The 27,307-nt window shown below is 45.8% G+C and overlaps 1 protein-coding gene across 6 annotated transcripts in view, besides 5 other annotated features; it reads left to right on the top strand.

The window, feature by feature from the left end:
* Positions 1–27,307, top strand: part of IRAG1 (inositol 1,4,5-triphosphate receptor associated 1) — a 120,661-nt gene that overhangs the window by 60,811 nt on the left and 32,543 nt on the right. For 2 of the 6 annotated variants that reach the window (NM_130385.4, NM_001100163.3), the window contains exons 4-12: positions 884–954; positions 3,234–3,407; positions 4,117–4,194; positions 4,920–4,972; positions 5,185–5,229; positions 6,362–6,979; positions 9,089–9,167; positions 23,094–23,217; positions 26,173–26,203. In NM_130385.4, coding sequence (NP_569056.4) covers positions 884–954; positions 3,234–3,407; positions 4,117–4,194; positions 4,920–4,972; positions 5,185–5,229; positions 6,362–6,979; positions 9,089–9,167; positions 23,094–23,217; positions 26,173–26,203 — 1,273 coding nt within the window. Of the gene's footprint in view, positions 1–883; positions 955–3,233; positions 3,408–4,116; positions 4,195–4,919; positions 4,973–5,181; positions 5,230–6,361; positions 6,980–9,088; positions 9,168–23,093; positions 23,218–26,172; positions 26,204–27,307 lie in introns of all 6 variants that reach the window. The other 4 variants (NM_001100167.3, NM_001098579.3, NM_001206881.2 and 1 more) reach the window with 3 other exon arrangements.
* Positions 9,361–9,490: an enhancer, noted in NCBI's record as "active region_4439". NCBI's record gives its function as "activates an Ori minimal core promoter by ATAC-STARR-seq in GM12878 lymphoblastoid cells {active_cell/tissue: GM12878}" and the evidence as "EXISTENCE:reporter gene assay evidence [ECO:0000049][PMID:35858748]".
* Positions 15,227–15,427: a silencer, noted in NCBI's record as "peak1195 fragment used in MPRA reporter construct". NCBI's record gives its function as "represses an SCP1 promoter by STARR-seq MPRAs in K562 erythroleukemia cells {active_cell/tissue: K562}" and the evidence as "EXISTENCE:reporter gene assay evidence [ECO:0000049][PMID:32103011]".
* Positions 26,509–26,803: an enhancer, noted in NCBI's record as "tiled region #14430; HepG2 Activating non-DNase unmatched - State 4:PromP, and K562 Activating DNase unmatched - State 8:EnhW". NCBI's record gives its function as "activates a minimal TATA promoter and a strong SV40 promoter by Sharpr-MPRA in HepG2 and K562 cells {active_cell/tissue: HepG2 | K562}" and the evidence as "EXISTENCE:reporter gene assay evidence [ECO:0000049][PMID:27701403]".
* Positions 26,509–26,823: a biological region, named in NCBI's record as "Sharpr-MPRA regulatory regions 8950 and 14430".
* Positions 26,529–26,823: an enhancer, noted in NCBI's record as "tiled region #8950; HepG2 Activating non-DNase unmatched - State 4:PromP, and K562 Activating DNase unmatched - State 8:EnhW". NCBI's record gives its function as "activates a minimal TATA promoter and a strong SV40 promoter by Sharpr-MPRA in HepG2 and K562 cells {active_cell/tissue: HepG2 | K562}" and the evidence as "EXISTENCE:reporter gene assay evidence [ECO:0000049][PMID:27701403]".

Below are 27,307 nucleotides of genomic sequence, written 5' to 3'. Positions count from 1 at the left end.
ATGGATATACATATATCATCAGTGGGGAGGAAAGTGCTGGAATAAAACTGCTAAGTTAGATATAAAATAGGTGAATGTTCTACAGGGCAATGAAACCATATTTTTGTCTTTTTTCCCAAACAGAAATCATCTGCGTCTTTGTCAGACAACAATGATTTACATTTTATGAGGCTTCTACAAGTTAGATGTTAGCTCAGAGTCTGGGACCTAATGAGTAGGAAATAGTAAGTCAAAGTCACATCCTCTTAGGGCAGTGGTTGGAAAACTTTAGCACGCGTCAGAATCACCTGGAGAGCTGTAAAATCATAGCTGGCTGGGCCCACCTCCAGAATTTCTGATCTGAGTTGGGGCCTGAGAATTTGCATTTCTAAGACGTTCCCAAGTTGAGAGTCAGAGAAACCCTCGAGAAGCTTGTAAGATGATGTTCTAGGATGACTTTGAAAGAATATACAGGCATCTGGCTGGGCACAGTGGCTCATACCTGTAATCCCAGCACTTTGGGAGGCCAAGGCGGGCAGATCACCTGAGGTCAGGAGTTCAAGACCAGCCTGGCTGACATGGTGAAACCCCATCTCCACTAAAAATACAAAAATTAGCTGGGTGTGGTGGCACATGCCTGTAGTCTCAGATACTTGGGAGGCTGAGGCAGGAGAATTGCTTGAACCTGGGAGGCAGAGGCTGCAGTGAGCTGAGATTGCGCCACTGCACTCCAGCCTGGGTGACAGAGTAAAACTGAGTCAAAAAAAAAAAAAAAGAAAGAAAGAAGGAAAGAAGGAAACAAAGAAAGAAAGAAAGAAAAAGAAAAAGAATATACAGGCATCTTTTCACCTATTTTCAAGTTGTGGATTGATTTTCTGAACAAGATGACTGTTCTGTCTTTCAGAGTTCACAGTCCCCACAAGAGGCTTTCTCACCGACACTTGAAGGTGTCCACTGCCTCCCTGACATCTGTGGGTAAGGACCAGGGCAATCTAAGGCATGTTGAGTAGAAAGACAGGTCTGGCAGCGTGGCTGGGCTTGACTCCTTCCTCTCTCCTGCTCTTTAAGGCGCTCCCTCCCGATAAGTCCAACAGGACAGGGTAGATCAGCCCCTCCGTGTCTGGGTCTAGGAGAAGCATATTTAATTCAGTTTTCATTGCTCAAAAGACAAGACCAGGGCATGAAGAGGAAGATGCAGAAGTCAAAGAAAGAAAGAACAGCTGAGTGAAACTCATTTCTGGGGTTTAGGGGGCAGAGTCCTCCAGCCTCTGCTAAAGAGGCCCACATCCAGGTTGGAGTAGGTGCCTGAGTGTAAGGCCGGCTGCCCTGGTCATCTGCTCATCCCCAGATGGTGGCTCACGATCTGCCCTGGGCTGTTGGAACATAGATCTCATATAGAGTTGGTCCCTGCCTTCATGCTGCTCATAGACTATGAAGAGACTGAGAAATGAACAGATAATTGGGACACTGTATGATAAGAGACTGCACAGAAGAGCTAGGCCAGCCAAGGCAAGAAGGGGACCGAGTCTCTCTGAGGAGAGGAAGTTTTAGGAAGGTATTCCAGAGGAGGTGGCATTTGAGTTGTGCCTTAGAGAGCTGGACAGATAGGCGAGGGAGGAAAGGCATTCCAGGGGGAATAGGAAACACACTGAAAGAGCAGGAACCTCCCTGGAGCATGTTGCTGGCAACTGAAACTCTGCCATGTGTACCAATTGGGACTTTTTCAAATGATAGAAACCCAACTCAAACTACCTCACACCAAAAAAAAATTTACAAAAGCCAGGGCTTGTGATTTCAGGTAGTGCTGGATCCAGGTGCTCAAAGTGGGTTATTAGCAATTGTCCCATTCCATCTCTTGAACCTTTTTTCTTGTGTGTTAGCTTTCTTCTTGGCAGACTCTTCAACACATGGTAGCCAATAGCTACCAGCAACTCCAAGCTTACGCCCCATCAGTGGAGAGTTCTTCTTCCCCATATACTCCACACCAGGATTGCCCCTCAATGGCTTCACATGGCCATCCCCGAGCCAATCCCTGTGGCCAAGGGGATTCTGTTCATTGATTGGCCAAGACTAGTCCACATTCCCACTCTTGGCACAGGGGAGGGGGGTTAGCTAATGGGGAATCAGAGAGGTTTTTACCAAGTGAAAACCAAGGATCTGCTGCCCAAAGACGAATGGAACCCGATGGAGGTGAAATGGGAGCTGTTCACTGCAGACACAGCTGAAGTGGAGGGACTTGGGAGGAGTATGTGGGGGCCAGCAAGACTGGCTGAGCCCAGTTTAGGGTTTGGATACCACACTGAGGAGCATGAGAAATCCCCATGAGATGAGGTGGAGAATGGCATGGCCAGATGTGGCTCTGATAGCCACTCTGATAGGCAGTGGGGGATGGGATGGAGGAGCTCGCCTGAGGGCAGGGACCTCTTAGGTAGAAGACATAATTGTCCAGGAAAGAGCTAACAAGTACGAGCGAGGCTGAGGCAGGAGAATCACTTGAACCCAGGAGGCAGAGGTTGCAGTGAGCCGAGATTGTGCCACTGCACTCCAGCCTGGGCCACAGAGTGAGACTCTGTCTCAAAAAAAGAAAAAAAAAAAAAAGAGCTAATGAGCAAGAATGGAGATGAGGAACAGGCTCCAGAGATGTTTATAGGTAAATGCAGGGAGGACTTGATCAACTGATTGGATGTTGGGGGAGGGAGGAAGAGGGAGAAGTGGGGAGTGACTCCTGTGATCCTGAGCAGCCAGGTGAGAGGTGGTGCCGTTCACCCACCTCATCCAGAGGGGCAGTTTTGGAGAAAAATGGGGTGAACAATGTGACTGGAGGGAAGGTGGCCACGGGGTTGTGGCCGTGGCCAATGATCTTTGGTCTCCTTCTTTTATTCACAAACCTTAAGCGCATTAGCTTGTGAAAGAAACAGGCCAGAAGCAAGAATGCACTGGGGGCGCAGATGGTGCCGGAGGTAAGGCTCCTGGGTGGCCTTCCCTTCCTGACAGAGTTTAGGAAAATTCTGGGAACCTGAGATGGCTCCAGGACCATTTGTGACGGAGGACCACAGGCCATAAGCCATAGGGGCCAGGCCTGCAGAGGAAGCCACTGTCTGTCCCCATGCAACCCTCTTGATGGCACTGGGCTGAGGTTTGGCTGGCTGGGTCAGCTGTGGGCAGAGTCCCTGGGATGAGGCATGGTATGGCATGACCTCAGCCTGGGGCCACGGATGCAGTGGCTCTCACCCCAGCTCATCCTCCTTCTGCAGACCCCGCGGGGCACATCATTGACCTGGTGAATGACCAGCTGCCAGACATCAGCATCTCAGAGGAGGACAAGAAGAAAAACCTGGCGCTGCTGGAAGAAGCCAAGTTGGTGAGTGAGCGATTCCTGACCCGCCGTGGGAGGAAGTCCAGGAGCAGCCCCGGAGACTCCCCATCAGGTAGGGTGGCAGGATGTACAGGTGGCTGCCCTGAGCCCCTCTAGGGTCGGGAGGGAAGGGCCTGGCACCAGCTGCAGTGGGCGCCTCACCTCCGAGGAGGTCGCCTTGGACTCACCTGCTCTCCTCAGCAGAGGTCAGGATTCTGTCCTGGGCTCCCTTCCCTTGATCTCTGTGGGTGCTGGGAAGGATCCTAGGCCCTCTGGGGAAGAGGAGATGGTCTTTGGGGAATTTCTGGGTTAGAGGGAAGGTTTTCCTGGGCCCAGAAATCCTCCTGCTTCCTCTATGCTAGAGTCACTTTTCTTCCTGAGCAAAAAGTTGGGCAAGTGTGTAAGTGTACTTAGGAGGACAAGGGGAGCTTTTGAAGTCAGGGCCACCCTGGGAAGTCGAGAAGGAGCAGCCTCTGGAGCTGTACCTGCCAACCAACGCCAGGCCTCAGTTTCTGGACAGTGCCTTGAGGTCAGGCCAGGCAGGCTGAGAAGTGTGACTCTATCCTCGAACCCCCAAATGGCCTGAGGGCACCCATCTCTTGAGCAGCAGCAGGGAGGGGTTGGGCTGTAACAGGAGCATCATATTGCAGTCCAGCATCAGCCCCTGAGCCCAGCAAGGCAGACCCAGTTCCCAGGGCCTGGGAATACCTAAAAGGATGCCTTTGCCAGGTTGAAGTCCTAAACCTTCATGAATGCCAGCCAATTTGTGTCTGTCTTCACAGCTGTTTCCCCGAACCTCAGCCCCAGCGCTTCTCCTACATCCTCTCGGAGCAACTCACTTACAGTCCCCACCCCGCCAGGTGAGGCCCAGCTGCCCGGGGACTTCCTGCCCTGCCTCTCGCTCTGGGTGGCAGCTCAGCCTGGACAGATCAGCATGCCTCCCAGCCTGCAGGCTTCCCCTTCAAGAACTCTGATGGCCCCTTCACACCCAGAGCAAGACCCCTCTCCAGGGGGGGCATTTGCTGGGCCACCCAGAGGAGGCAGATAGACTTTCTGTTAGCATCTTGGGCTTGTGTCGGGAGGCAGGTGTACCCCAGGGTCAGGAAGGCTGGGTGGGAAAGGGGACTAGGACAGCCTCTCTGGCTCAGGGAGGCTCAGAGAAGCCCTCAAGAGCTTATACAGAAAGGCCTCTTTGGGGTCTGACTTCTTCCCTTTCATTAGGCTGTACCCAGAGTCACACCCTCCAGCCAACAAGGAAAGGGGGAGGGTGCCAGGAAGGGCAACCGGCCCTCATCAGTGCGGCAGGGCACGCTCAGGTCGGGGCCAGGCAGCCTGGGCCCAAATCTCAGTGCTGACATTTCCTGGCCATGAGACTTTGATTTCCCTGTGCCTCAGTTTCCTCCTGTGGTCTCTGTGAACATTCTGTGAGGGCCCACCTGAGAACCTGGCACACGGGAGGTAGTCAGCAAATCTTCCAGGCCTGAGATTGCAAAGGGAGGATAGCCCGGGGAGGGAGATGTGGCTGAAAGCACAGCTGAGGGCCTGGGCTGCTGGGCCTCACTCACTAGTGTCTGGACCCTTCCAGGTTTGGATGTGTGCAGTGGCCCGCCATCCCCTCTGCCTGGAGCACCACCACAGGTGACAGGACCCCCCACCTGCTGTGCTGTTTCTATGCCAATGGGTCTCTCCCCTTACCCCGAACACCAGGAGGCCCTTCGTGACCCACTGGAGATGAGGGTGCTGGGTGGAGGGCATGAACACCACTGCTAGGGGGCCTCCTTGGGGATATTTCAAGAGGAAACACGGTCTCTTCCCATTGCTGACTGACTCCTGTTCACCTTCTCCAGCAGAAGGGGGATGAGGCCGACGTCTCTTCACCTCACCCTGGCGAGCCTGTGAGTTTGAGCTTTGCTCCCTTTGGATGATTTGAGTGTGGGGGGCACAGTCTCCTAGAAGCCTAGGCTGGCTCCTGGGCAGCCTTCAAGTGTGTGTGCATGCACACGTATGAGTGGAGGGTCAGGGCTGGGGAAACAGCAGATTCCCCTGCCTTATAGTGACTAGAAGTCTAAGGTGGAGGGGTGGGGAGGCAGGATTCAGGGGGGTGAACTCCGTGGAGGCAATACTCACAGCGCTGACCCCCAGTCAGGCTGCTGGTTGGAGACAAGGGGGACCTCCAGGCCAGGTGAGACTGTGGCTCCTGTCAGCTCCAGTGAAAAGGGCAGGAAAGCGCCAGCCCCTGCCTGGGATTCTGTCTGGGGAAGCCGGGAAAACCTCATCTTTGTTGATGAGCAACAGAAGCGCCCCACCCTGCTCACATCGAGGGGCCCACGTGCTCAGTGTTTCAAGGGCAGCAGTAGAATTTAGTGTCACCTGGAACTGGGTCTGGGATACAGTCCTCTGGAAGAGTCTCAGCACACACGAGGCAGCCACACAGACCCCCAGACCCACGTGCTGCTCACGGCCCAGGTTTCCCTTGGGGAATGAACAAAGTAAACTAACACTGCAGAATCTTAGAGCTTCTGAGCAGGAAGACATCACCTTTGCAAGAATCACCCCATCCAATGATCCCTAACCTCTTTGGATCATGGAACTCTGAGAAATTGTTGAAAGCTGTGGATGTTTTTCCTAGAAAAACACCCCTCCACACACAGACATACACATACATAATTTCAGAGGGTTCACAAACCTGGGTCCCTAAGAGTTAAGGGCCTTGCTAAGCAGCACCAAGGCTAGATCTGGGGCAACTGAGTTAGGGCCAAAGCTGCCTTCTATTCAGTTTTCCTCAGCTCCTATCCCTTGGGAAATTCTTGGCTGGTTTTGGATTGCAGGTTCCATTTTCCTGTCTGTTTGACAAACCTCGGGCAGAAGCCCTCTCCTTCCACATCGTCCACTCATACCCCATACACACTTATACAAATGGGCCCCTTGGCAAGGTGTGTGGGGGCAGAGACTCCACAGCAGAAGTGGCCTCACCTGTTTCCCCTCAACCTGCCCCCGAGGGTTCCAGCTCTACCTTGTCTTTTTCAGAACGTCCCCAAAGGGCTAGCTGACAGGAAGCAGAATGACCAGAGGAAAGTGTCTCAGGGCAGGCTGGCTCCTCGTCCTCCTCCAGTTGAGAAGTCCAAAGAGATTGCAATAGAACAAAAGGAAAACTTCGATCCCCTCCAGTACCCCGAGACCACACCCAAAGGCCTAGCTCCTGTTACAAACAGCAGTGGGAAAATGGCCCTGAACAGCCCTCAGCCTGGCCCCGTGGAGAGCGAGCTGGGGAAGCAGCTCTTGAAAACGGGCTGGGAGGGCAGCCCTCTGCCGAGAAGTCCAACCCAGGATGCGGCAGGAGTGGGTCCCCCAGCCTCCCAGGGGAGAGGCCCAGCTGGAGAGCCGATGGGGCCCGAGGCTGGCTCCAAAGCTGAGCTTCCACCCACTGTGTCCCGGCCCCCGCTGCTGCGAGGGCTCTCCTGGGACAGTGGCCCTGAAGAACCTGGCCCCCGGCTGCAGAAAGTGCTTGCCAAGCTGCCACTGGCAGAGGAAGAAAAGCGTTTTGCAGGCAAGGCCGGCGGCAAGCTGGCCAAGGCCCCTGGTCTCAAAGACTTTCAGATACAAGTGCAGCCCGTGCGGATGCAGAAACTGACCAAGCTCCGAGAGGTGGGTTCCTGGGGGCCAGTTGGGCAGAGTGTGTACTCCAGGTACTCCCTGGGCTGAAGACCTCAGGGCTGAGTCTGGGCCCCTGGCCAGGGCAGCTCTGGCCTGGACTTGGGCCTTGTGAGGGCGTAAATTTTCCCACTCTGAGAAGTCAGGCCTATTTATGTGGCATCTCTTTCCTAAATACCAGTTTTAGGTGCTTTTTTATGCCAGTTACCAGGCAGAGCTCAGTCTAAAATCTAGTTGCCACACAAAGCCACATCTCAGGGGAAGGCAGACGTGTGGAGGGACATGTGGGCCCCTCAGTCCTGGGCTGCTTTCCTCCTCCAACCGGAGTCAGTGGCTCATAAACAGGAATCCCTTGATGGAGTGCCCAGTCATGCCTAGGATTAGCTAGCAAGGGTGAAATAGTGATTTCCTTTGTGATGCCCCCAAGCCTTCCTTCCTGATGCCTGTTAACAAAAGCTTTAAGTCCATCTGCAAGTGTGAAGGCTGCTCCGCCCATGGTGAGTTTCTTCCAGTGCCCATGGTGTCCCCTCAGCTTCTGTTGGCCATCAAACCAGGCACAGCGGTCTCCTGTGGGGTTGCCACCCTATGCAGGGTATGATTGGGGGCATCCAGAGATAGAGACCAGATAACAGGACAAAGCAATTCTGACCAGTCCTGTCTCCTCCAGAAGGCCCACTTGGAATATAAACCAAGGCACCTGGATTCCACAGAGTGAGGCCCAGCACCCTCAGAGCAGGAGGCTTCTCCTGGCTCCTCTACAGAGGGAAATGTGGGGCAGGGAAGAAAAGAAGGTGCCCGATAGCACTCAAGCACAATTGAGGGGATTTGTGTGCTGGCAGGGACACATTCCAATGCTGGCCACTATCCTATTCAGATACCTTCATGATGCTCTGAACTGGAGGCACAGGGGAGCTGGGGCGTGGCTGCTGATGTTAACATTTTACACACAAAACTCCTCCTAGTCAGAAAGACCCAACTAACTAGCGGATCAAACAGCACAGGGCCCAGAGGAGTTGCCACAGTCCCGGATCTCTAGCGGAAGTTGGAGCCAAGGGGCCGATAGCCAGGGATTTGCCTTCATGGGCCTCTGGTTATCAGAGCCTCCTCACTCCCTACACTCCTGCAGATTTCGCCCACCCAGAGAAGTTACAGGGAACCTGGAGGCCCCATGTCACTAACCACTACCCTGGCACCTGAGTGCCCAGCCCCTACCCGACTCCAGTGTGCTGAAGCTGATGGGCTGTGGGCCTCTGGCTTGCTAACCAAATGGGTAAAGGGTCCTTGACCATGACTTCCACTTGGATCATGAGCACCCTCTGCTGGCCCCTTCCTTTCCTCCCTTCTCGGGGGACAAACCATTCCCAAGTGCCCTCTGCCACACAGCAGACTGAAGATCCATAAGTCACAGGGGCAAGGAGCTCTGCCAGGTGCCTCCACTCAGGTCCTTGGTCTGGTGCTAATTGGCTTAGAGCAGGTGTGAGCCCACTTGGGCCACATCCCATCTCTCCCCGGGCTCTGCCAGCTGAGGCCCTAAGCCAGCAATTCTCAGGCCTCACTTTTCTGGAGAGTTTAAAAACTCAAGAGGTGCCATAAAAGGCCATTGATGACCTGAGTGTGTGGGGCAATCGCAGCTCCTGGAAGTGAGCAGTCACTGCCCGGAATGACAGGGCAGGAAGATCCAGCCAGCCATGAGATCGCCAAAGCTGTTTCCAGGAGCAGCGCCATACACACCCAGGGGACCCTCCTGTCCCAGAGCCCTTAGTTCTGCCCCTGTGTGTCCTTTGCAAACCTCAGCCACAGTGAGGCCAAGCAGTTCATTTACCCTGAAGCCCACAGACTTGTTTAAAAAGACCATGCCAAGGGTAGTCCCTGACCCATGGAAAGTGGTGCTGACAGTGGCGTTTCAGGCACCTTCACGGACTGGGAGAGGAACTATTTCCTGGTGCTTCTCAGGCCTCACCATGCCATGCCTGCCCACCCACCTCTCAGGCTGCCCCGCTTTCCCACCTAAGATAGTGGTCGCAGAACCATAGACAGAGCCAAGAGAACAGCCCAGCCCAGTGTCATCATCTGAAATTGTTATCTCTTTCTTTTACCACAAAGGAGCACATCCTGATGAGAAATCAGAACTTAGTGGGGCTCAAGCTTCCAGACCTTAGTGAAGCAGCTGAGCAGGAAAAAGGTAGGTGGGGTTGGGGCAGATGCTGTCTCAGCGAGTGCTGATTTGTCTGTGCCAGATCAAGGAAGGTGAATGTGTAAACACAAGACTTCCTGTGTCTTCCTCAGGAAACATTTGCTGGTGAATGAATGAATCCGATTGTGTCTTCTGCCCGCTCAGCACCTCCAAACCTGCCTCCTTCCAACCAGCCCCCAGGCCTCGCTGTCAGCCCTCCCTAAGCCATGCTGGCATCTAGTGGGCCTGGAAGGGTGCCTCAGGCCTGAACTTTTGACACTTCCTTTTCCTCGTACACCCAGGAAGCTGCCCAAACTGAAGAGTTCCTCTTTTCAAGGCATCACGGCCATCTCTTGCTTACTAATCTGCTGTCACCACAAAGTCCATACCCCAGCCCTGCCCTGCTGGGTAGCTGCAGGCCCCTTCCTCCAAGCCTCTGGTTCCCTGTCCACCTTCTGCCAGAACCATGGCGGGGAAAATGGTTCTGAAAATGAGGCTTCAGCCCCCGCACTGCCTCCCTCTCTGCACTCACCTCTGCCGATGTTCTCAGTAGGGTTCTGACCCCTCTAGATCTAGCTGGGCAAGTCCAGCCCTGCTCCCAGTGCCCCCAACACCCTTCCTCGGCCCCATTCTCCTGCATGAGTATGTCGAGCCCCACCACGAGTTGGAACTGTAAGCCCTGCTACCACTCAGGTGACCTGGGCAAGCTATTCAACCTCCCTGGGCATGTAAAACCAGGCTAAGAACAGTACCTGCCTTCTTAGGTGATTATGGAGATTAAAGCAGCTAATATCTATAAAGTACCTAAAACAATACCTGGTACATGACAGGTGTTATCTAGGTGTCAGCTATTATCCCTAGAGAAGAAGCCCCCAAGGGCAGGAGTGTGTGTGTGTGTGTGTGTGTGTGTCCACTGCTTACAACAATGCCTGGCACTACTAGGGCCTGCATAGGTATTTGTTGAATGAACGAATGAAATTGTATGAGATGTGGCAGGGGGCTAGGTGAACCTGTAATCCCAGCACTTTGGGAGGGAGGTGGCTTGCTTGAGCTGAGGACTTTGAGACCAGTCTGGGCAGCATGACGAAGCCCCATCTCTACAAAAAATACAAAAATTACCTGGGCATGGTGACACACACCTGTAGTCCCAGCTACCCGGGAGGCTGAGGTGGGAGGATCGCTTGAGCCTGGGAGGTCAAGGCTGCAGTGAACTGTGATCGTGCCACTGTACTCTAGGGTCTCGCTCTGGGGTACAGAGTGAGATCCTGTCTCAAAAGAAACATTTTTAAAAAGATGTGGCAGGAGCATTGAGATAGGTACATGAAAATAATTTGTAACTGTAACCATAGTGCCATGAGGTGGGCAAAGAGGCATGGGTGAGTGGAGAGAGATGAGTGTTTCCAACAGGCCAGGCTCCTGGCTCTTCCCTCTTCCCAGAGCCTCTTCTCTGTGGCCACTCACCCTCTAGCCTCTGTGCCTCTGTCCCCGCGGCATCTCCCTCCTGCTGGGCTATCTCCCTCCTCTCTGAGTCATATGGTACCTGTTCCTTAAAGCAGTGGGTTAGTCCCACCAGCTCTGCAATCTTCTACTTTCTTGACTTTCTTTTGTATTTTACTCTATATAGTACTCCCTTTTTCAGAGGGGGTGGGGGACTATTTTTTATTGTAAATATATATAACATTCAACTTGCCATTTTAGCCATTTTTAAGTATACAGTTCAGTGGCAGTAAGTACATTCATATTATGAAGCCATCACCACTATCCATTTCTAGAACGTTTTCATCATTGCAAACTGAAATGCCATACTCATTAAAACAATAACTCTTTATTCCCTCCCTCCCCAGCCCCTGGTGATCACCTTCTACTTTCTGTCTCTATGTATTTGACTCTTCTAGATCCCTCCTAGAAATGGAATCATACAGTATCTGTCCTTTTGTGTCGAGCTCATTTCAATTAGTAAAACATCTTCAAGGTTCATCCGTGTCACCTAGTCCTTTTAATTCAATCTTAATTAATAAACTTCCCATAGCATTTTCCACAGTATAAACCATTTTGTTACCTCTGATTTTATGTAATCTTCCCAGTCAGCTAAGAGGGGCAGGGATTCTTGCTCTTATAGTTGAGGAAACTGAGGCCCGAGGATCTCCTGACTCCAAATCTCATGGTTTGGCCATCTCATGAACAGTTTTAAAACTTTTTTTAAGCTGCACAACATTTCAGACAAGCTGATCTGTAGGAGGCCAGCGTGTTGGGGAGATGCAAATGGGGCTGCTCTGGTTGAAGGGGATAGAAGGGCTTGGATCCTTCATCTTCTGAGACTGTGGGCCCAAGGTACCTCCAGGGACCCAGGCTTCACAGAGCACCATTTGAAAATCCTTGCCCCGCTTCAAGCTGCTGGGGGCCAGTCTCAGCATAAGAGCCCTATGGATTCTTGGGTGAATGTGTCCAGGATGTCACTAACAATGGTGGAAGCCCCTGGTCTGAACTGTAGTAACTTACACCTACCTATTTATTCAGCATTAATAAGAAGGTTCCCAGAAGTAAAATTTCAAACAGTGTTTTTTCCCAAGGGCAAAATATTTTAAATAACCATCTTTAAAGAGATCTTTTGAAAATGCAGCATATACTTCTCTAATTATAATTTTAAATTTACTAAAGCATATTTAAAACACTGGAAAAAACACTTTAAAATTTCACCCACAACCCCATCAATTCTGAAAAACTAACAATTTTTCTTCTTTGCAATATTTGCCCATATTTATAATGTTTTCAGTTGATTTGATGAATAGATACAGCTTCTTTTTTTTACTTGTTATTTTATACTCAGCAATTTCTCCTCAGTTATGATTTAATGGGTGCATAGTTCCTCTTGTATTGACCTATCTATTGTTCTTTGAACTAGGATTAACAATGCTAGTATAAACAATTATGGACCGTTAGTTGTTCTTTTTTCTTCCTTTAAATCATTCCCTTGAGATAAGTGTTCAGACTTGAGAATCACAAGGTTAAAGAGTAGAAACATTTGCATTTCCCAAATTACTTACAATGAATAACGCTACTGACAAAGACTGAATGGACATCTTTCTCTTACGCATTACCCGTGCTGGTGTTTGCTTCTGCTCCTTATTATTCAGAATATAGTAAGAATAATCAATAATTGTCATTGTTTTAAGTTTATTATTATTAGTGTGAAATTTCATTATTATTTCAATTAATTTGCTAGGAAGCTCAAACTTAAAATGTTAAAATAGTCACTTTGTTTTCTTACTGGGTGACTTAACTTCTTACATCTTTGCCCGTGTACCCATTTAGGTCTGGGGTTTTTCGTTGATTTGTTTGGTTTTTGTTGGTAATATATGTAAACTTGATACATTATAGATATTAGCCCTTAATTGGCTTTCTTTCTTTTGGGGGGGGCTGTATTTTAATATATTTTCATTCAATCTTTTTTTTGCTTTTTAATACGTTTTGTGTTATTTTAGAGGAATTGTAAAGATTTTACATAATCATGTTTGCCTATCTTTCCCTTTGAGAAGTCTTCTATTATTTCAATCATTATAAAAATACTACTTCTCCCCAGTTGTAATAATATTTCCACTTTTTTTCTCTATTAAAAACACTGTTATAATGAATACTATCTTACATAGATCTTTATAGAAATCTGTTTTTTCCATGGGCTACTATTCTAGACTTGCAATTGATTGGTTAAAAGTATTTACTTTTAAATGTATATGTGCACACTGCCAGATTAGCTTACAAAATTATACCAATTTAGACATCCACTACCTACAGCAAAACTTTATTATCCAATATTAATAGGGCATAAGATGGATCTTAGAAGTAAAATTATCAGGCAAATGAATGTGACTCCTATAAGCACCAAATTTTAAAAATAAAATTAACCATGGTCAGTGTCCAACAATATACACTCCCTCTCATTTTCTCTCAGTTCTAGGGTCTGGATGCTTAAGAGCTCAGACTTCATCACTTACCAGCTGCATAGCCTTGGTCAAGGTTCTAATTCTCTCCACGCTTCAGTTTGTTCATCTTTTAAAGGAGGTTAATAACAGTACCTACTTCACTAAGCTGCTGTAATGTTTGCATGTGATACTGGTCTTTATTCCAGCAGGAACCTGGCATACATTTTCATTTCTGTCATTTAGGTTGTAGAACTCTATCTTGCCAACCAAATGGGATATTCTTGTACACTGTGCTCCACAGTGCTAGAGATGTGGTGGGCAACCCTCCGTGTTTAATGAATACTTGCAGACTTGTGACTTTCTTTTCTTATATTCTGAAAGCCCCATCAAAGAGCCCCGTCCCCTCCCATACCCAGGATAAAAGGCTTTGGGAGCATTTTATGAGAGCTGGCTCAGATTGTATTTATAGGCACTAAATACAGCCCTGCATATGAACTCATGGGGAAAAATCCAGTCTCTTATGATGGTTGTTGGCTGTTCCTTTGAGAAATGGGAAAAGATACTTATCAGAACATTCTGGAGTCTGAAGAATTTTGGCTCTCCTTCAGTTTGTGAGGACTGGGAGGCTCATTTCTGTGCTGCATCTAGTCTTTCCAACAACCCAATCAGTTCCCTTCTCAGGAACTATATTGTATGCTGTTTTGATCTTTGATCAGTTGCAGGTTATTTCAAGCCAAATATGTGAGACTGACTGTGGGCCAGTTCTTAGGCTGTGTGCTGGGGATGCATTAAGTGAAAAGGGTTCAGGCCCCACCATCAGGGAGAAGGCCTTGTCCCAGCTACCATTATCAGTCCCCTTGGCTAACTCAACAGCCTGCAACCTGGTCCCCTCTCCCTGCACTCCCAACCCCCAACCCAGCTCACACCATGGCCAACACAGCAGCCGCAGGGATCTCTAGAAGGCAAATCTGTTTCAGCATCTTCAGAGGCTTCATTCTGCTCTTAGGAAGAGCACTTGAATCCTCAGTAGAACCTACAAGGCCCTGAATAGTTAACCCCACCCACTTCCCCAGCATATTCTAGGGCCACACTCACTCTCACTCACAATATTTTGGCCTGCCTTCGGCAGCTCATTCTTTCCTCTTCTTACGCATGGCACATTCTGTCTTCTGCATGGAATGTTCTTCCTCTCTCCCTCTTTGCCTAATGAACTCCCAACTCAATCTTTAGATATCTGCTCATGTCACTTTTCTTGGGAAGGGTTTGCTGGTACCTTCGGATCCCTTCTCCTTTGTAAAATCTCTCAGTGTGAAATTGTTTGGATGTTTCTCTGATTAATCTCTGTTCCCCTGAATAATGAGCTCCAGAGGATGTGGCATGTCAGTTTTGCTTAGCATTGTATCCTTAGCTCCCAGCTCATTGCCAGGGACATAGTAAACACTCAATAAACATTAAACAAATGTATGAACGAATAAGCTCACTGTCTAGGAGAGGAAACATAAGAATAGACAAAGTCACTACGATAAATTGTGATAAAACTTTAACAGGCCATAAAGTACCTGGGAACAAAGAGGAAGAAGCAGCTAGCTCAGTGGGGTTGAGTCAGGGAAGGTTTTCAGGAGGAGCCACCTTGAGCTGGGGAAGAGAAAGTCATCCCAAGCAGGGGGACAGCAGAAGCAAAAGCATGTAGGCATCTTCTAGTGCTTGGCATACTTCAGGAACAGAAGGAATGTCATGTGAACTAAGTGTGAGCTACACGTCCCAGAGAGATGGGCAACAAGGTGGGAACAGTGGGCTGAGACCAAGGAAATTGAAGGCTTTGAAGGCCAATTAATGAGTTTGAATTTCATTTAGGACACTTTGGAAAGAGAAGCCTGCAGGTAAGGAAGCATCAGGATCAAATCTATATTTTAGAATAATTCTTCTGGACAGATTGTGAGAGCTGGCCTGAAACAGCAGAGGCTAGAGACAGGGAGACACCAGGTAAAAGGATAGGGAAATAGCCTGGTGAGAGGTAATGAGGTGGTAGTAAATGTGGACAGGATAGTTTGACAGCTATTGGAGATCAGCTTGTCAGGACTTGATGAGGAGATGGAGTTGAGAGGCAGACCAGGAATACCACCAGGCACCTGTCTGCATGGTTGTGAGGGTGATGAATTGTGAGACAGGAGGAGGAGTTTGCTTGAGAAGGAAGACAGTGAATTTGAGTTTGGACATGTCAAATGCCCACGGAAAGCAGCTTGAATGCAACAGACAAACCTGGTTTTGCATTCTGGCTGTACTGCTGATAAGCTGGACCCTAGTAAATCACTTTAACTCAGCTGAGCTTCAGTTTCTCCAGAAAATGCATTTCATAATACATTCTTTGTACTTTCAGAAACCAATTTCTCTTCTTTGGAGGAAGCAATTACCAAAATTCAGCAGGTCCTACAGTTTCACTTCACTTCAAGTTCAATTAAACTCTAATACTTTTAATTTCAAAAAAGTATATCTAGTATAATCTCCCTCTTTTTCCCTTGCTCCTTCTGTATTTGTGGGGAAGGAGGTGTTTAAGCTATTTTTTATTTGCAGTACTATTGTAAGAAATGACAAAGTGTATCTACTGCATAGTTGATGTTCAGTAAATGGTGGCTCTTGAAATGATTTTTATTCTCCTTAACCAGGTGGCAACGTCTAGAAGGTAGTTGGCTATCTGGACCTGGATTTTGAGGGACACGTAGGCTGAGGCAGAGAAGTACATCGAATGGACAGTCCTTCCAAAACCCCCAGTCTAGACTCAGAGCCTCAGGTCTTGGGCAGGAAAGAGGCCTCCCTGAGAAGAAAGAGGTAAAAAAAAGTTTATCCCCAACTAGCAGCTTTGACTTTTAGGAACCATCCTGGGACTCAGAGCATCTTTCAGAGCTCCAAAAGTAATTTTTCCAAGTCCCTGACATGGTCAGAAACAAATATTTTCATTGGAATGAGCTAGTCCTGGGAGATATATTTGAAAATAAATTTATTACTTTTTGTTGAAAGTGGCTTATGTTCATATCTAAAAATTCAACCAATAGTGAAAAATACAAGGAAGAAAGTAAAAATAGCTTACACTAAACACCTCCTTCCCCACTAATACAGAAGGAGGAAGGGAAAAAGAGGGAGATTATACTAGATATACTTGTTTGAAATTAAAACTATTAGAATTTAATTGAACTTGAAGTGAAACTATAAGACTTGCTGAATTTTGGTAACTGCTTCCTCCAAAGAAGAGAAATTGGTTTCTAAAAGTATAAAAAATGTATTATGAAATGCATAAAGGGTTTGGAGTTACTGAGGTAGTTTTTTGTTTTTTGTTTTTTGTTTTTTGTTTTTGCTTTGGTATGAGTTTTAATTCAATTTTTATAAATAATCATGTCCATAGTACAAAATTCAAAAAGTACAAAATGAGACATAGGAAAAAGTAAGTCTCATTACATCTCTGTCCCCCAGTAGCAGAGGCAACCACTGTCACTATGTTTTAGTGTAACTTCTAGATATATTCCAAGCATTTCTAAATATAGACATATATGTAAAAGTGGATTTTTCTTTTTTTTTTTTTTTGAGATGGAGTCTCACTGTCACCCAGGCTGGAGTGCAGTGGTGCCATCTCAGCTCACTGCAAGCTCCACCTCCCGGATTCACGCCGCTCTCCTTCCTCGGCCGGGACTACAGGCGCTCGCCACCACGCCGGGCTAATTTTTTGTATTTTTAGTAGAGCTAGGGTTTCACCACGTTAGCCAGGATGGTCTCGATGTCCTGACCTCGTGATCCGCCCGCCTCGGCCTCCCAAAGGGCTGAGATTACAGGCGAGAGCCACCGCGCCCAGCCAAAAGTGGATTTTTTAAACATAAATCGTAGTATATTATACAAGGTGTTCCAAACCTTGCTTTTTTCACTTAGTAATATACTTTTTTTTATTATTATACTTTAAGTTCTAAGGTACATGTGCACAACGTGCAAGTTTGTTACATATGTATACATGTGCCATGTTGGTGTGCTGCACCCATTAACTCGTCATTTACATTAGGTATATCTGCTAATGCTATCCCTCCCCCATCCCCCGGACCCCACCACAGGCCCCGGTGTGTGATGTTCCCCTTCCTGTGTCCAAGTGTTCTCATTGTTCAATTCCCGCCTATGAGTGAGAACATGCGGTGTTTGGTTTTTTGTCCCTGCGATAGTTTGCTGAGAATGATGGTTTCCAGCTTCATCCATGTCCCTACAAAGGACATGAACTCATCCTTTTTTATGGGTGCATAGTATTCCATGGTGTATATGTGCCACATTTTCTTAATCCAGTCTATCATTGATGGACATTTGGGTTGGTTCCAAGTCTTTGCTATTGTGAATAGTGCTGCAATAAACATACGTGTGCATGTGTCTTTATAACAGCATGATTTATAATCCTTTGGGTATATATCCAGTAATGGGATGGCTGGGTCAAATGGTATTTCTACTTCTAGATCCTTGAGGAATCGCCACACTGTCTTCCACAATGGTTGAACCAGTTCATAGTCCCACCAACAGTGTAAAAGTGTTCCTATTTCTCCATATCCTCTCCAGCACCTGTTGTTTCCTGACTTTTTAATGATCGCCATTCTAACTGGGGTGAGATGGTATCTCATTGTGGTTTTGATTTGCATTTCTCTGATGGCCAGTGATAATGAGCATTTTTCCATGTGTCTGTTGGCTGCATAAATGTCTTCTTTTGAGAAGTGTCTGTTCATATCCTTTGCCCACTTTTTGATGGGGTTGTTTTTTTCCTGTAAATTTGTTTGAGTTCTTTGTAGATTCTGGATATTAGCCCTTTGTCAGATGAGTAGATTGCAAAAATTTTCTCCTGTTCTGTAGGTTGCCTGTTCACTCTGATGGTAGTTTCTTTTGCTGTGCAGAAGCTCTTTAATTAGATCCCATTTGTCAATTTTGGCTTTTGTTGCCATTGCTTTTGGTGTTTTAGACATGAAGTCCTTGCCCATGCCTATGTCCTGAATGGTATTGCCTAGGTTTTCTTCTAGGGTTTTTAGGTTTTAGGTCTAACATTGAAGTCCTTAATTGATCTTGAATTAATTTTTGTATAAGGTGTAAGGAAGGAATCCAGTTTCAGCTTTCTACATATGGCTAGCCAGTTTTCCCAGCACCATTTATTAAATAGGACTCCTTTCCCCATTTCTTGTTTTTGTCAGGTTTGTCAAAGATCAGATGGTTGTAGATGTGTGGTATTATTTCTGAGGGCTTTGTTCTGTTCCATTGGTCTATATCTCTGTTTTGGTACCAGTACCATGCTGTTTTGGTTACTGTAGCCTTGTAGTATAGTTTGAAGTCAGACAGCATGATGCCTCCAGCTTTGTTCTTTTGGCTTAGGATTGTCTTGGCAATGCAGGCTCTTTTTCGGTTCCACATGAACTTTAAAGTATTTTTTCCAATTCTGTGAAGAAAGTCATTGGTAGCTTGATGGGGATGGCATGAAATCTATAAATTATGAGGTAGTTTTTTTGCATTATAGGTTTTAAATTTAATCTAAACTTTGGACCTGGCATTTGTTTTAATCAGGTATGGTATGACACAGAGACCCACAAATGATTCTCATGAAGGAATAGGTTTATACTCACAGATCCCTAATAGCAGGATGTGTGGCACATCATACAGAGCCCCTTGGGGAAGGGCTAGGGTGGGTCAGAAGGCAGAAGTGGTGAGGGGAGAGATGGCCCCAAGCCTTTACTGGGGTTTTCTTGGAAAGGAAAGGTAGAGGCAGGGTAGGTATCCTCAGTATGTTTAGGGTTGGCTAGTTTGAATAATTTTGGCAGGACCTAGGCTATAGGGTGGCCCGTAGTTGTCAGGTACTGGCCCTGGGGTGATTTAGGGGGAGTATTGGCTTGGTGCGTGAGAATTTGATAAAGGTGATGTTTACAGGTGTGGGTTCTGGATTGGCTGGTTTGTATTTCAAAGACACACTTGAAGGAGAGTTGTTTCTAGGAATTAGCTAGCCTTGAGAGGGGCTGTCACTCCAGGATTAAGGCACCAAGTGACAGAACATCAAGAATACGGAAGATAAGAACATGTAGTCACTACAATGGTACCTACTGACTTCCTGCAGGAAAAGATGAGAATGGCCGAATATCTTCCCACCTTCACATTTCTTCCTACATTTCCATTTCTACCTCTACACATCTTGAATTCTTCTTTGTACATCATTAAGGTTATAACATTTACATTCCATATTCTGTAACCATGGTTTCCACAGTTATTTAGCCTTAGACTTAAATGTAAAAAGATTTCATGTTCACCACTGGTCCCTTTCCCAAATTTATTCGATTTATGTCTTGTTTAGCTGGATTTTGTTTTCCAACAATTTTCCTGAAAGAGTTCAGAGGTGCTGTGTTCCCTGAGTTCTATCACATTTGAAAATTTTGTCTTTTCTTGAAGGACAGCTTGTGTGGTTACAAAATTCTTGGTTGACTGTTTTCCTTGGAACTGCGTAGATGTTGCTCCCCTGTATTTAAAGTTATGGAGAAAGCTGGGACCAGCTGATTTCCAGCACCTCTTAATCTTCACTTTCCCATGTAGATGTCTGGGTTTTTTTTTTTTTTTTTGTATGAAGCATTTAAATATATTTTTTAACATGATGCGGTCTGTCAACCTGAAGGGTTCAACTTTCCCCTCAAGTGAGGAACATTTTTCTTCTGTTATATCTTTGAATATGTCCTTTGTTCCATTTGTTTTGTTCACTGCTTCGGAGACAACATAATGCATAGATGGGTCATCAGAGTCTCAACTCCAGGTCCATTATTTTATCTCCATATACTTCAATCTTTCTTTCCTTCTTTGCATTCGTTATGATTACTCAATCTCTACCACCCTCCTCTAATTCAGCTTGAAGCTATATCTGCTTTATTCCTTCATTTTTCCAATAAATTGGTTGGTTGTATATTTCCCAATTTCTTGATTAGTCCTTTTATTTTGGTCTTTAATTTGTTTCCTTAAATAGCAATCATCTTCCATCTTTGCATGATCTTCTCATCCCAACTCTAATTTCTTAATTTTTTTTCAGGTTATTTTTTCTAGAGTCAAAGTATTTATGGTATATATTTTGCACAGAAGCATACTTTTGCATTTTTTGATGTGTTTCTTGCAACTATGTTTCCATCCTGACATCTGTCTCTTGCACATTTCCCTTTTCCTTCCTTTCTACCTTCCTTCCTCTTTTGTCTATAGTATTTTTGTATAGTTGCCATGCCATCTGTTTTCCTTTTATTTTTTTCTGATTTGTATATTTCTACCTTGATTCCCTTTCCCTAGATATATTGTATTGTAGGTTAGTTTTTGTTGACTCCTTCCTACCTTAGCTGGGATCTCTTAGCCTTCCCTTTAGTGCTTTAGTTGAGGATTGTATATTTTGTGTTTGTTTTGTTACTGCTTAGGTGGTGGGGAAAAGGGGAAGTTAAGATAGAGCTGTTTGTAGAATTGGTTTCTTCTCTTTTTCCGTAACTCTGTTCATAGTCCAAAACGTGAGTTTGTTATACCAAATCGGGGGCATATCTTATTCCTTTGGAGGTGGTTAGTAGTGGGTTTCAGATTGTTTCACCAATTTAGGTTGGAATTGTAGAGACAAGCTGTCCGTAGGTTTATTTTCCAGACTTGACCCAATGCTTCCCAACGGCTACTCCTCTGCTAAGAAAGGAAGGAAAAAACGGCAAATCCAAGGAGTTTAGCCACTGTTTTTCAGGAGTCGGGGGAGAACATGGTGGTTGGGGCTTTCCATGTGTCTCCTGCCATTCACTCCTTCAGAGGGACGTGTTTTATTTACTTTACCGTTAGTCTTCCTTCCTTGTAAATCCCTTCATATCATTCAAGAAAATCCACTCTGTGTTCTGTGCGATCATTCTGCCTTTCCTCTCTTCTTCTCATCAGTAAGAAAAGCAAAATGGCAGGCAGCCCAGGCAGTTTTTTCTCTCTTCGAAATGCTGGTAAGATGGAATGGAGAACCTTCTATTCTAGGGAAACTTTCTGAATCTCCTCTGACAACTGCCTACTTGCCCCCTCCATCCCTTTCCCTCTCTATTCTGTGGTATTGAACTCTTTGTAAGAATTTTTTCTCTCCCATCTTCCTTTCAGTACTGATTCTTTGGAGAAGAAGAAAGGGTTATCATGGGTGGAAGCTCTACATTTATTCCTAGTAATTTTTATTCTTTCTCTAGTCACTATTTTTAAAGACTATTGCCTTTTCTTGTATCTTAGAGTTTCTTGTGTATTTTTTATTTGTTCTGAAATTTTTTGTTGTTAATTTGGTTGAATTCAGGAGGAAGGTGGTTGGTTCCTAGAATCCACCAATTCTGGCATTACTCTTCAAGCACCATTTTGGGAAACTTTTCTAGGCAAAAACCCTGATATGCATTTCACTTGATTATTAGACCTCATATGTTTCGATCATCCTATAGATATCTCAGGAGCTTGCTACTCAGTTGACTCTCTGTTGAGTGTGGTAGGGATACATACATAAAGGTAGAATGATGCCAGGGGTGACACAAGGTTTACCACAGAAACCTTGTCAGAGAGCTATAAATACCAGGACAGAACCAGAGAGGTAACAGGTAGCTAAGAGAACTTCTAGTTGAATCTCATATCCAAAGAAGAATTGCTGACTGACCCATCTCTGACAGATGATCCTCCAGCTTACTTGGCTACCTTGAGTACCAAGGAATCCATGCCTACCATTCTCTTACTGGCAAGCTCAAAGTATTTAAACATATTTTACCTTGAGCCAAACTAGATAGCCTCTTGTCTCTTCATGGTCTCCTTTGGTGAGACTTCTTTCTATTCACATGATTCCCAGTCTTAACTCTTCAGGTGGCTACAACTATGCCTATAGTCCTGGTCTCTAGCCTAGCCTAGGATCCTGGAAAATGATTGAGCAGATTGGAAAGCTACCAGGTTAAAATCCAGGAGAAAGAGTAAAACATGGATAAATATGAAGTTCTACATGCAAATGGAAAGTAACCATTATACAGGATGAGGATAACTGATTTGGGTCAACTAAAGAGGTTGAGAGTTTTGCTTAATGCTAAGTGTACTGTAAGCCCGTAGTCAGGCACACAAAATCTATGCTGCATGAATAACAAACATCAATGCCAGGGACATTTACCAAAGTCTTCCTGTGCTAAGATCTTGTTAGAGAACATCTGGGCCTCTGTAACAGCAACAAACCAGAATGTGTGCAGGAATGGGATGGTATCTAGAGACCATGGGCCACAGTGGAGCACAGTGAGCTTGTTGGAAAAATGGAGCTAGAGTCTGGAGAAGAGAAGCTTTAGAGAGGCACAGGAGCTGTTTTCAAACAGGAGAAAGATTTATGGAAAAGAGAATACTTGGTTTGTTCATTCTGTCTTCAAAGCACAGACCCAAGATAGTTTTAGAAGTTTAAAAAACAAAAAGCTGTTCATTGTCTCTGTTGACTAGGAGGCATTTATGTTTCTGAGATCTGTAAAAGATCTAGCAACCTTAGGTTTACTCTGGAAAATCTCTTATCTATGGGGTATGGAATCAGATGTTAATTTCTAAGTAGGATACATAATATAGAACATTTTAATTTATCCGAGGAGGAATAATTGAACAACAGGTCTCCTGAGAAGCCTGCCAAGGAGCAGGTTTTTTTCCCAAACATTATAGCCAAAGAGCCAACCAGCTTCCAATTGCCAGCTTAATACTGTGGGAAGCAAAGGGAAGAACATAACATTTGAAGCAGGTAGACCTTGAGGTCTGGCCATGTCATTTGCTAGTTCTGTAATCTTGAGCAAGTGACTTAACCTTGCTGAGCCTTGGCTTATCTACATGTGAAATGGGATGACTAAGTTCTAGCTCATTGTGAGAATAATGTAAGATAACAATTAAAAAGCCCTTAACATAGAACTAGATACTTATAAATGTCAAAGCTCCTGAAGCTAGCTGCCAACAGTACTACTGTGATTTCAAAGAGACATTTTATAAGTAAGCACTTTTTTTTCAGGGCTTCCTTCTGAACTCTCCCCAGCTATTGAGGAAGAAGAGTCAAAGAGTGGCTTAGATGTCATGCCTAATATTTCTGATGTGCTGCTGCGCAAACTGCGGGTCCACAGGAGTCTCCCTGGAAGGTAAAATCAGGATGTGGGTTACAGAAGGCCCTGTACCGAGTGGCCCCTGTGTTGGATTCTAGGTGGGACACAGAGGAACACCAGTCTTAATTCTTGAACCCAGAAGGGCCAAAGTCCAATTGTCTAGATAGGGATAATGCATTCGAAACAAAAAGAATAATGAAAGGCCAGGCTGGGTGTTTTCAACTCAAAGGCCAGGTGGGGTTCTTAGGTGAGCACAGTTCATGAAGGCATAAGGGTCACCAGAAGCTCATGGCAGCAGAGAATGGGCTTTGAGCCAGGAGACATGGGTTTCAATCCCAGATACACCATTTACCCATGACTAGTTAAGTTTTCAAATATTTTTTTGTAGAGATAGGGTCTTGCTATGTTGCCCAAGATAATCTTGAACTCCTGGCCTCAAGTGATCCTTCTACCTCGGCCTCCCAAAGCACAAATAACATTTAAGTAACCAAATGAATGATTTGAAAGAGTAAAGTTGGTAGAAAGACCATAAAATAGGGCACATCTAGAGAATGACATGAGAGTGGGGCATTGGGTAGGAGGTCAAGGAAAGGCCTCTGTGATAAAGTAATAATTTGAGATGTGCAAATAACAAATGACAAAAAGCCACTCATGCAAGGGTTTTGGTAAGATTTACAGAGGAAAAAAATTGTAATTTTAACAAACGGTGCTGGGACAACTGGATAGCCACATACAAAAGAGTGAAGTTGGACCCCTACCTCACACAAAACACACAAATTAACTCATAATGGATCATAGACCTAAATGTCAGAGAGAACACTATAAGACTCTTCAAAGAAAAAATATAAGTAAATCTTCATGTCTTTGGGTTTTTTAGATATGGCACCAAAAACACAAGAGACAAGATTTTAAAAATAAATAGTACTTCCTCAAAATAAAAACTTCTGTGCTGCAAACAGTGTCAAGAAAGTGAAAGGCAACCCACAGAATGAAATATTTGCAAATCACTTATCTGAAAAGGAACTTGTTTCTAGAGCATATAAAGAAGGCTTACACTCAATAAAAAGATAAATAACCAATTTTTCAAAATGGGGAAAGGATTTAAATAGACATTTCTTCAGAGAAGATATACAAATAGTCACTTAAAAAAGATGCTGTGTCCTTTTAGAGGCTCACAGCTCTGCCCCCGGGTACCTATGCCCATTTGTAAGGCACAGTTATCTGCATCAGACACCAGACATACCATGTGGCTTCTCTGCCTAAATCATACTTCTCTGAGTCCTCAGAGTTTCCCCCCAGACCCCCACTTTTTTTTTAAGGTGGGTATGTTCTAACTGGGTGTGGTGGCTCATACACCTGTAATCCTAGCACTTTGTAGGCTCAAGGCAAGAGGATCACTTGAGGCCAAGAGTTTAAGACCAGCCTGGACAACAGAGTGAAACTCTGTTTCTACAAAAAATAAAAATAAAAAATTAGCCAGGTATAGTGGCATGCACCCATAGTCCCAGCTACTCTGGTGGCTGAGGCAGGAGGATTGCTTGAACCCAGGAGTTCAAGGCTGTAGTAAGCCACCTCTGCAGTGATCCTGCCACTGCACTCCAGCCTGGGCAGCAGAGCGAGACCCTGTCCCCAAAAATAAATAAATAAAATAAAAATAAGGTGGGTGTGTTCTACAGCAAAAAAGCAGAATGTGAGTCATTGAAATAGAAAAATGTTTGGTTTATAATTTATGAAAATATGTGCATTTCACATAATATCCCAACAAACCCAGGAGTCAGAAACAAACTTGGCAAGTTTTGCCAAATCATTTAAATCATATGTGTATGCTGTAGATGACAGTTAAGGCAAGGGCCTGATGGGTGGGGTTGTGACAAGGACTGTAAGTGTCAAACATCCCTGCAGCTGTTTGTCCCGTGTTCTGGACTCCGCTGACTTCATGGCCATGGGGTCTTCTCATCCTGACAGGAAGGCACTCATATCATTCCCTAGGGGTGAGAACCAGCCCCCTGCAGAGATGGCTGACCCCTACCTTTGCTCTTGGGGTCCCTTCACACCCGTTCAAGAGAGGAAGCTGTGTTTCCTGAGAAGCTTATTGATGGCATGCTCTGTTGCCAAGTTCTGTGACGCTGGTAGGACCCCTCCCAGGCCTCCCCGCCCCAGCACAGGAAAGGGCCTGTGCATTATTTACATTGTGTGGACTTCAGATGGGGCCAGCTTTAGTTACCAGCAAGAGCAGCAGCCACAGCAGCATCGAGTGGACATGCAGATGCAGGGACTGCCTATAGCTGGAGAGCCCTGGCTGTGGGAACGCCACAGACGAGGAGCTGCTCAAAAGGATGCCTCTGTGTCGGCTGGGGCTTTCTTGCCACTCTGTGATTCTAGCCATCAGAAGTTCTTGCTGTGGAGAAGAACCCTGGTCACTCTCTCCTACCATTTATTCTCTGGCCCGCATGCACCTTTGTCACAGCCCTCAGAGACAGAGGAGGGTGAGGCTTTGCAGACCTGGGTGGATATCCCCAGAACAATTATAATGGCAACTTAGATGTGTATGAGTTATAAAGTCCTTATCACATGCATTTTCTTATTTCTCACAGCAAGGCTATGAGTTCAAGGTCACATTTCCCGAGAGCCCACTGAGTGTGGATGCCATATATTTATGCATACAAACACATACACATACATACATGAGTACATATAGTGCTTATAATACCTCTGCAAGGTAGGTGATATGATTCCCATTTTGCAGATGAGCACGCTGGGGCTTAGAGAGATTAAATAACTTGTCCAAAGTCACAGAGATAGTCATGGTGCCGTAAGAGTCAGTATCTCACAGGTGACAGAGCACAGGCAAGGGGACATTGCATCTTTTCCTTCTCACCAACACAGCTTACTCCACCCCTGGAAACACATGGTCTGCTGGTCATTCAGAGTCACCTTTGGGTCTATTGACTAGGTTGCACACAGTTCAATTGTGTGTTTTCTTTTTCACAGTGCCCCTCCACTCACTGAAAAGGAAGTTGAGGTAAGTGACTCAAGTGTGTTATGAAATTTAGTGCCCGTGCTTGACTGGGCTTATTCAAAACATTTCTTCCTCCAGACTCTAGCTCTGACATTTTTAGACAAAAATGAGAAAGAGTGACTGTGGGGTAATGTGAACATTCATGACCAGCCCTCTTGAACCATGAGATCCCCATTCCCACGTCCGTTCATGGAAGATTTTGACAAATTTGGGCAAAAGGGAGAAGGTAGTTGGAAATTTTACATTCCTGTAAGGATTGTTTATATTCTTTAAATGTACGACTTAGATACACAAAACCAGCTGGGAGGCTGCAGAATTGAATCAAATTTATTTCAAAATTACTGAAAAATGGTCAGATTTCAAGTTCTAAGCTTTAGTTTAGTGGGAAAGGGGGCTGGCCTCCTCAGGGTTTCAGCTACAAGAATGCCAGCTCAGCGGAGCCGGGAAGCTGTGCTGTCAGCAATCCAGCCTTCCGGTTTCCTCACTGGGGCCTCCTTGTCCCAGCGGGGTTGTGAGTGAGCTGAGGGGAATCTGCATTTCATTCTGTAGCGGACAAAGAGAACTTATCAGAGGTGAGACAATGAGAACTGCTGATGTGGACCAGATAAGCAGAGGAAGACAGACAGTATGAAGTATCTACCACAGGTAGTATCTATAACTTGCACACAGGCATTGCACTTGCAGTCTATAACACACGCATAGCCATCCTTTCAGCTGATCCTAACCAGCAGCTCTGAAAAGCAGGTGGAGCAGGAATCAGCACAAAGGAGAAAACTGAGTGAGTAAATAACCACACCAAGTTTCTAGATACTGTAGTTGGCAAAACCAAGACCTAGATCCAAGTGTTCTCACTGAATTCAGAACTCATTGTGTCACACTGCTGTTAAGGGGATAATCAAGGTATAGAAAATTAAGCATTGAGCATTATTCATAGACTTGACCAAGGCCGGGTAAGGCAGAAAATTTCTATCACTGGGCTATGAGCTCTAAGCCTACCCACTGACATTTGTGAAGATGGGCCATGGGCGGTTTGTTTAATGTCCAAATGCTGACCGCAGATGTATATGGACACAGCTCTCGGCATGGTGGAAATAAAACAGGCTTTCA

This window comes from Homo sapiens, chromosome 11, assembly GCF_000001405.40.
Source record: "Homo sapiens chromosome 11, GRCh38.p14 Primary Assembly".
Lineage (NCBI taxonomy): Eukaryota > Metazoa > Chordata > Mammalia > Primates > Hominidae > Homo > Homo sapiens.
Note: the sequence above shows the minus strand (reverse complement) of the source record. Positions and strands in the feature narration are given on the sequence as shown.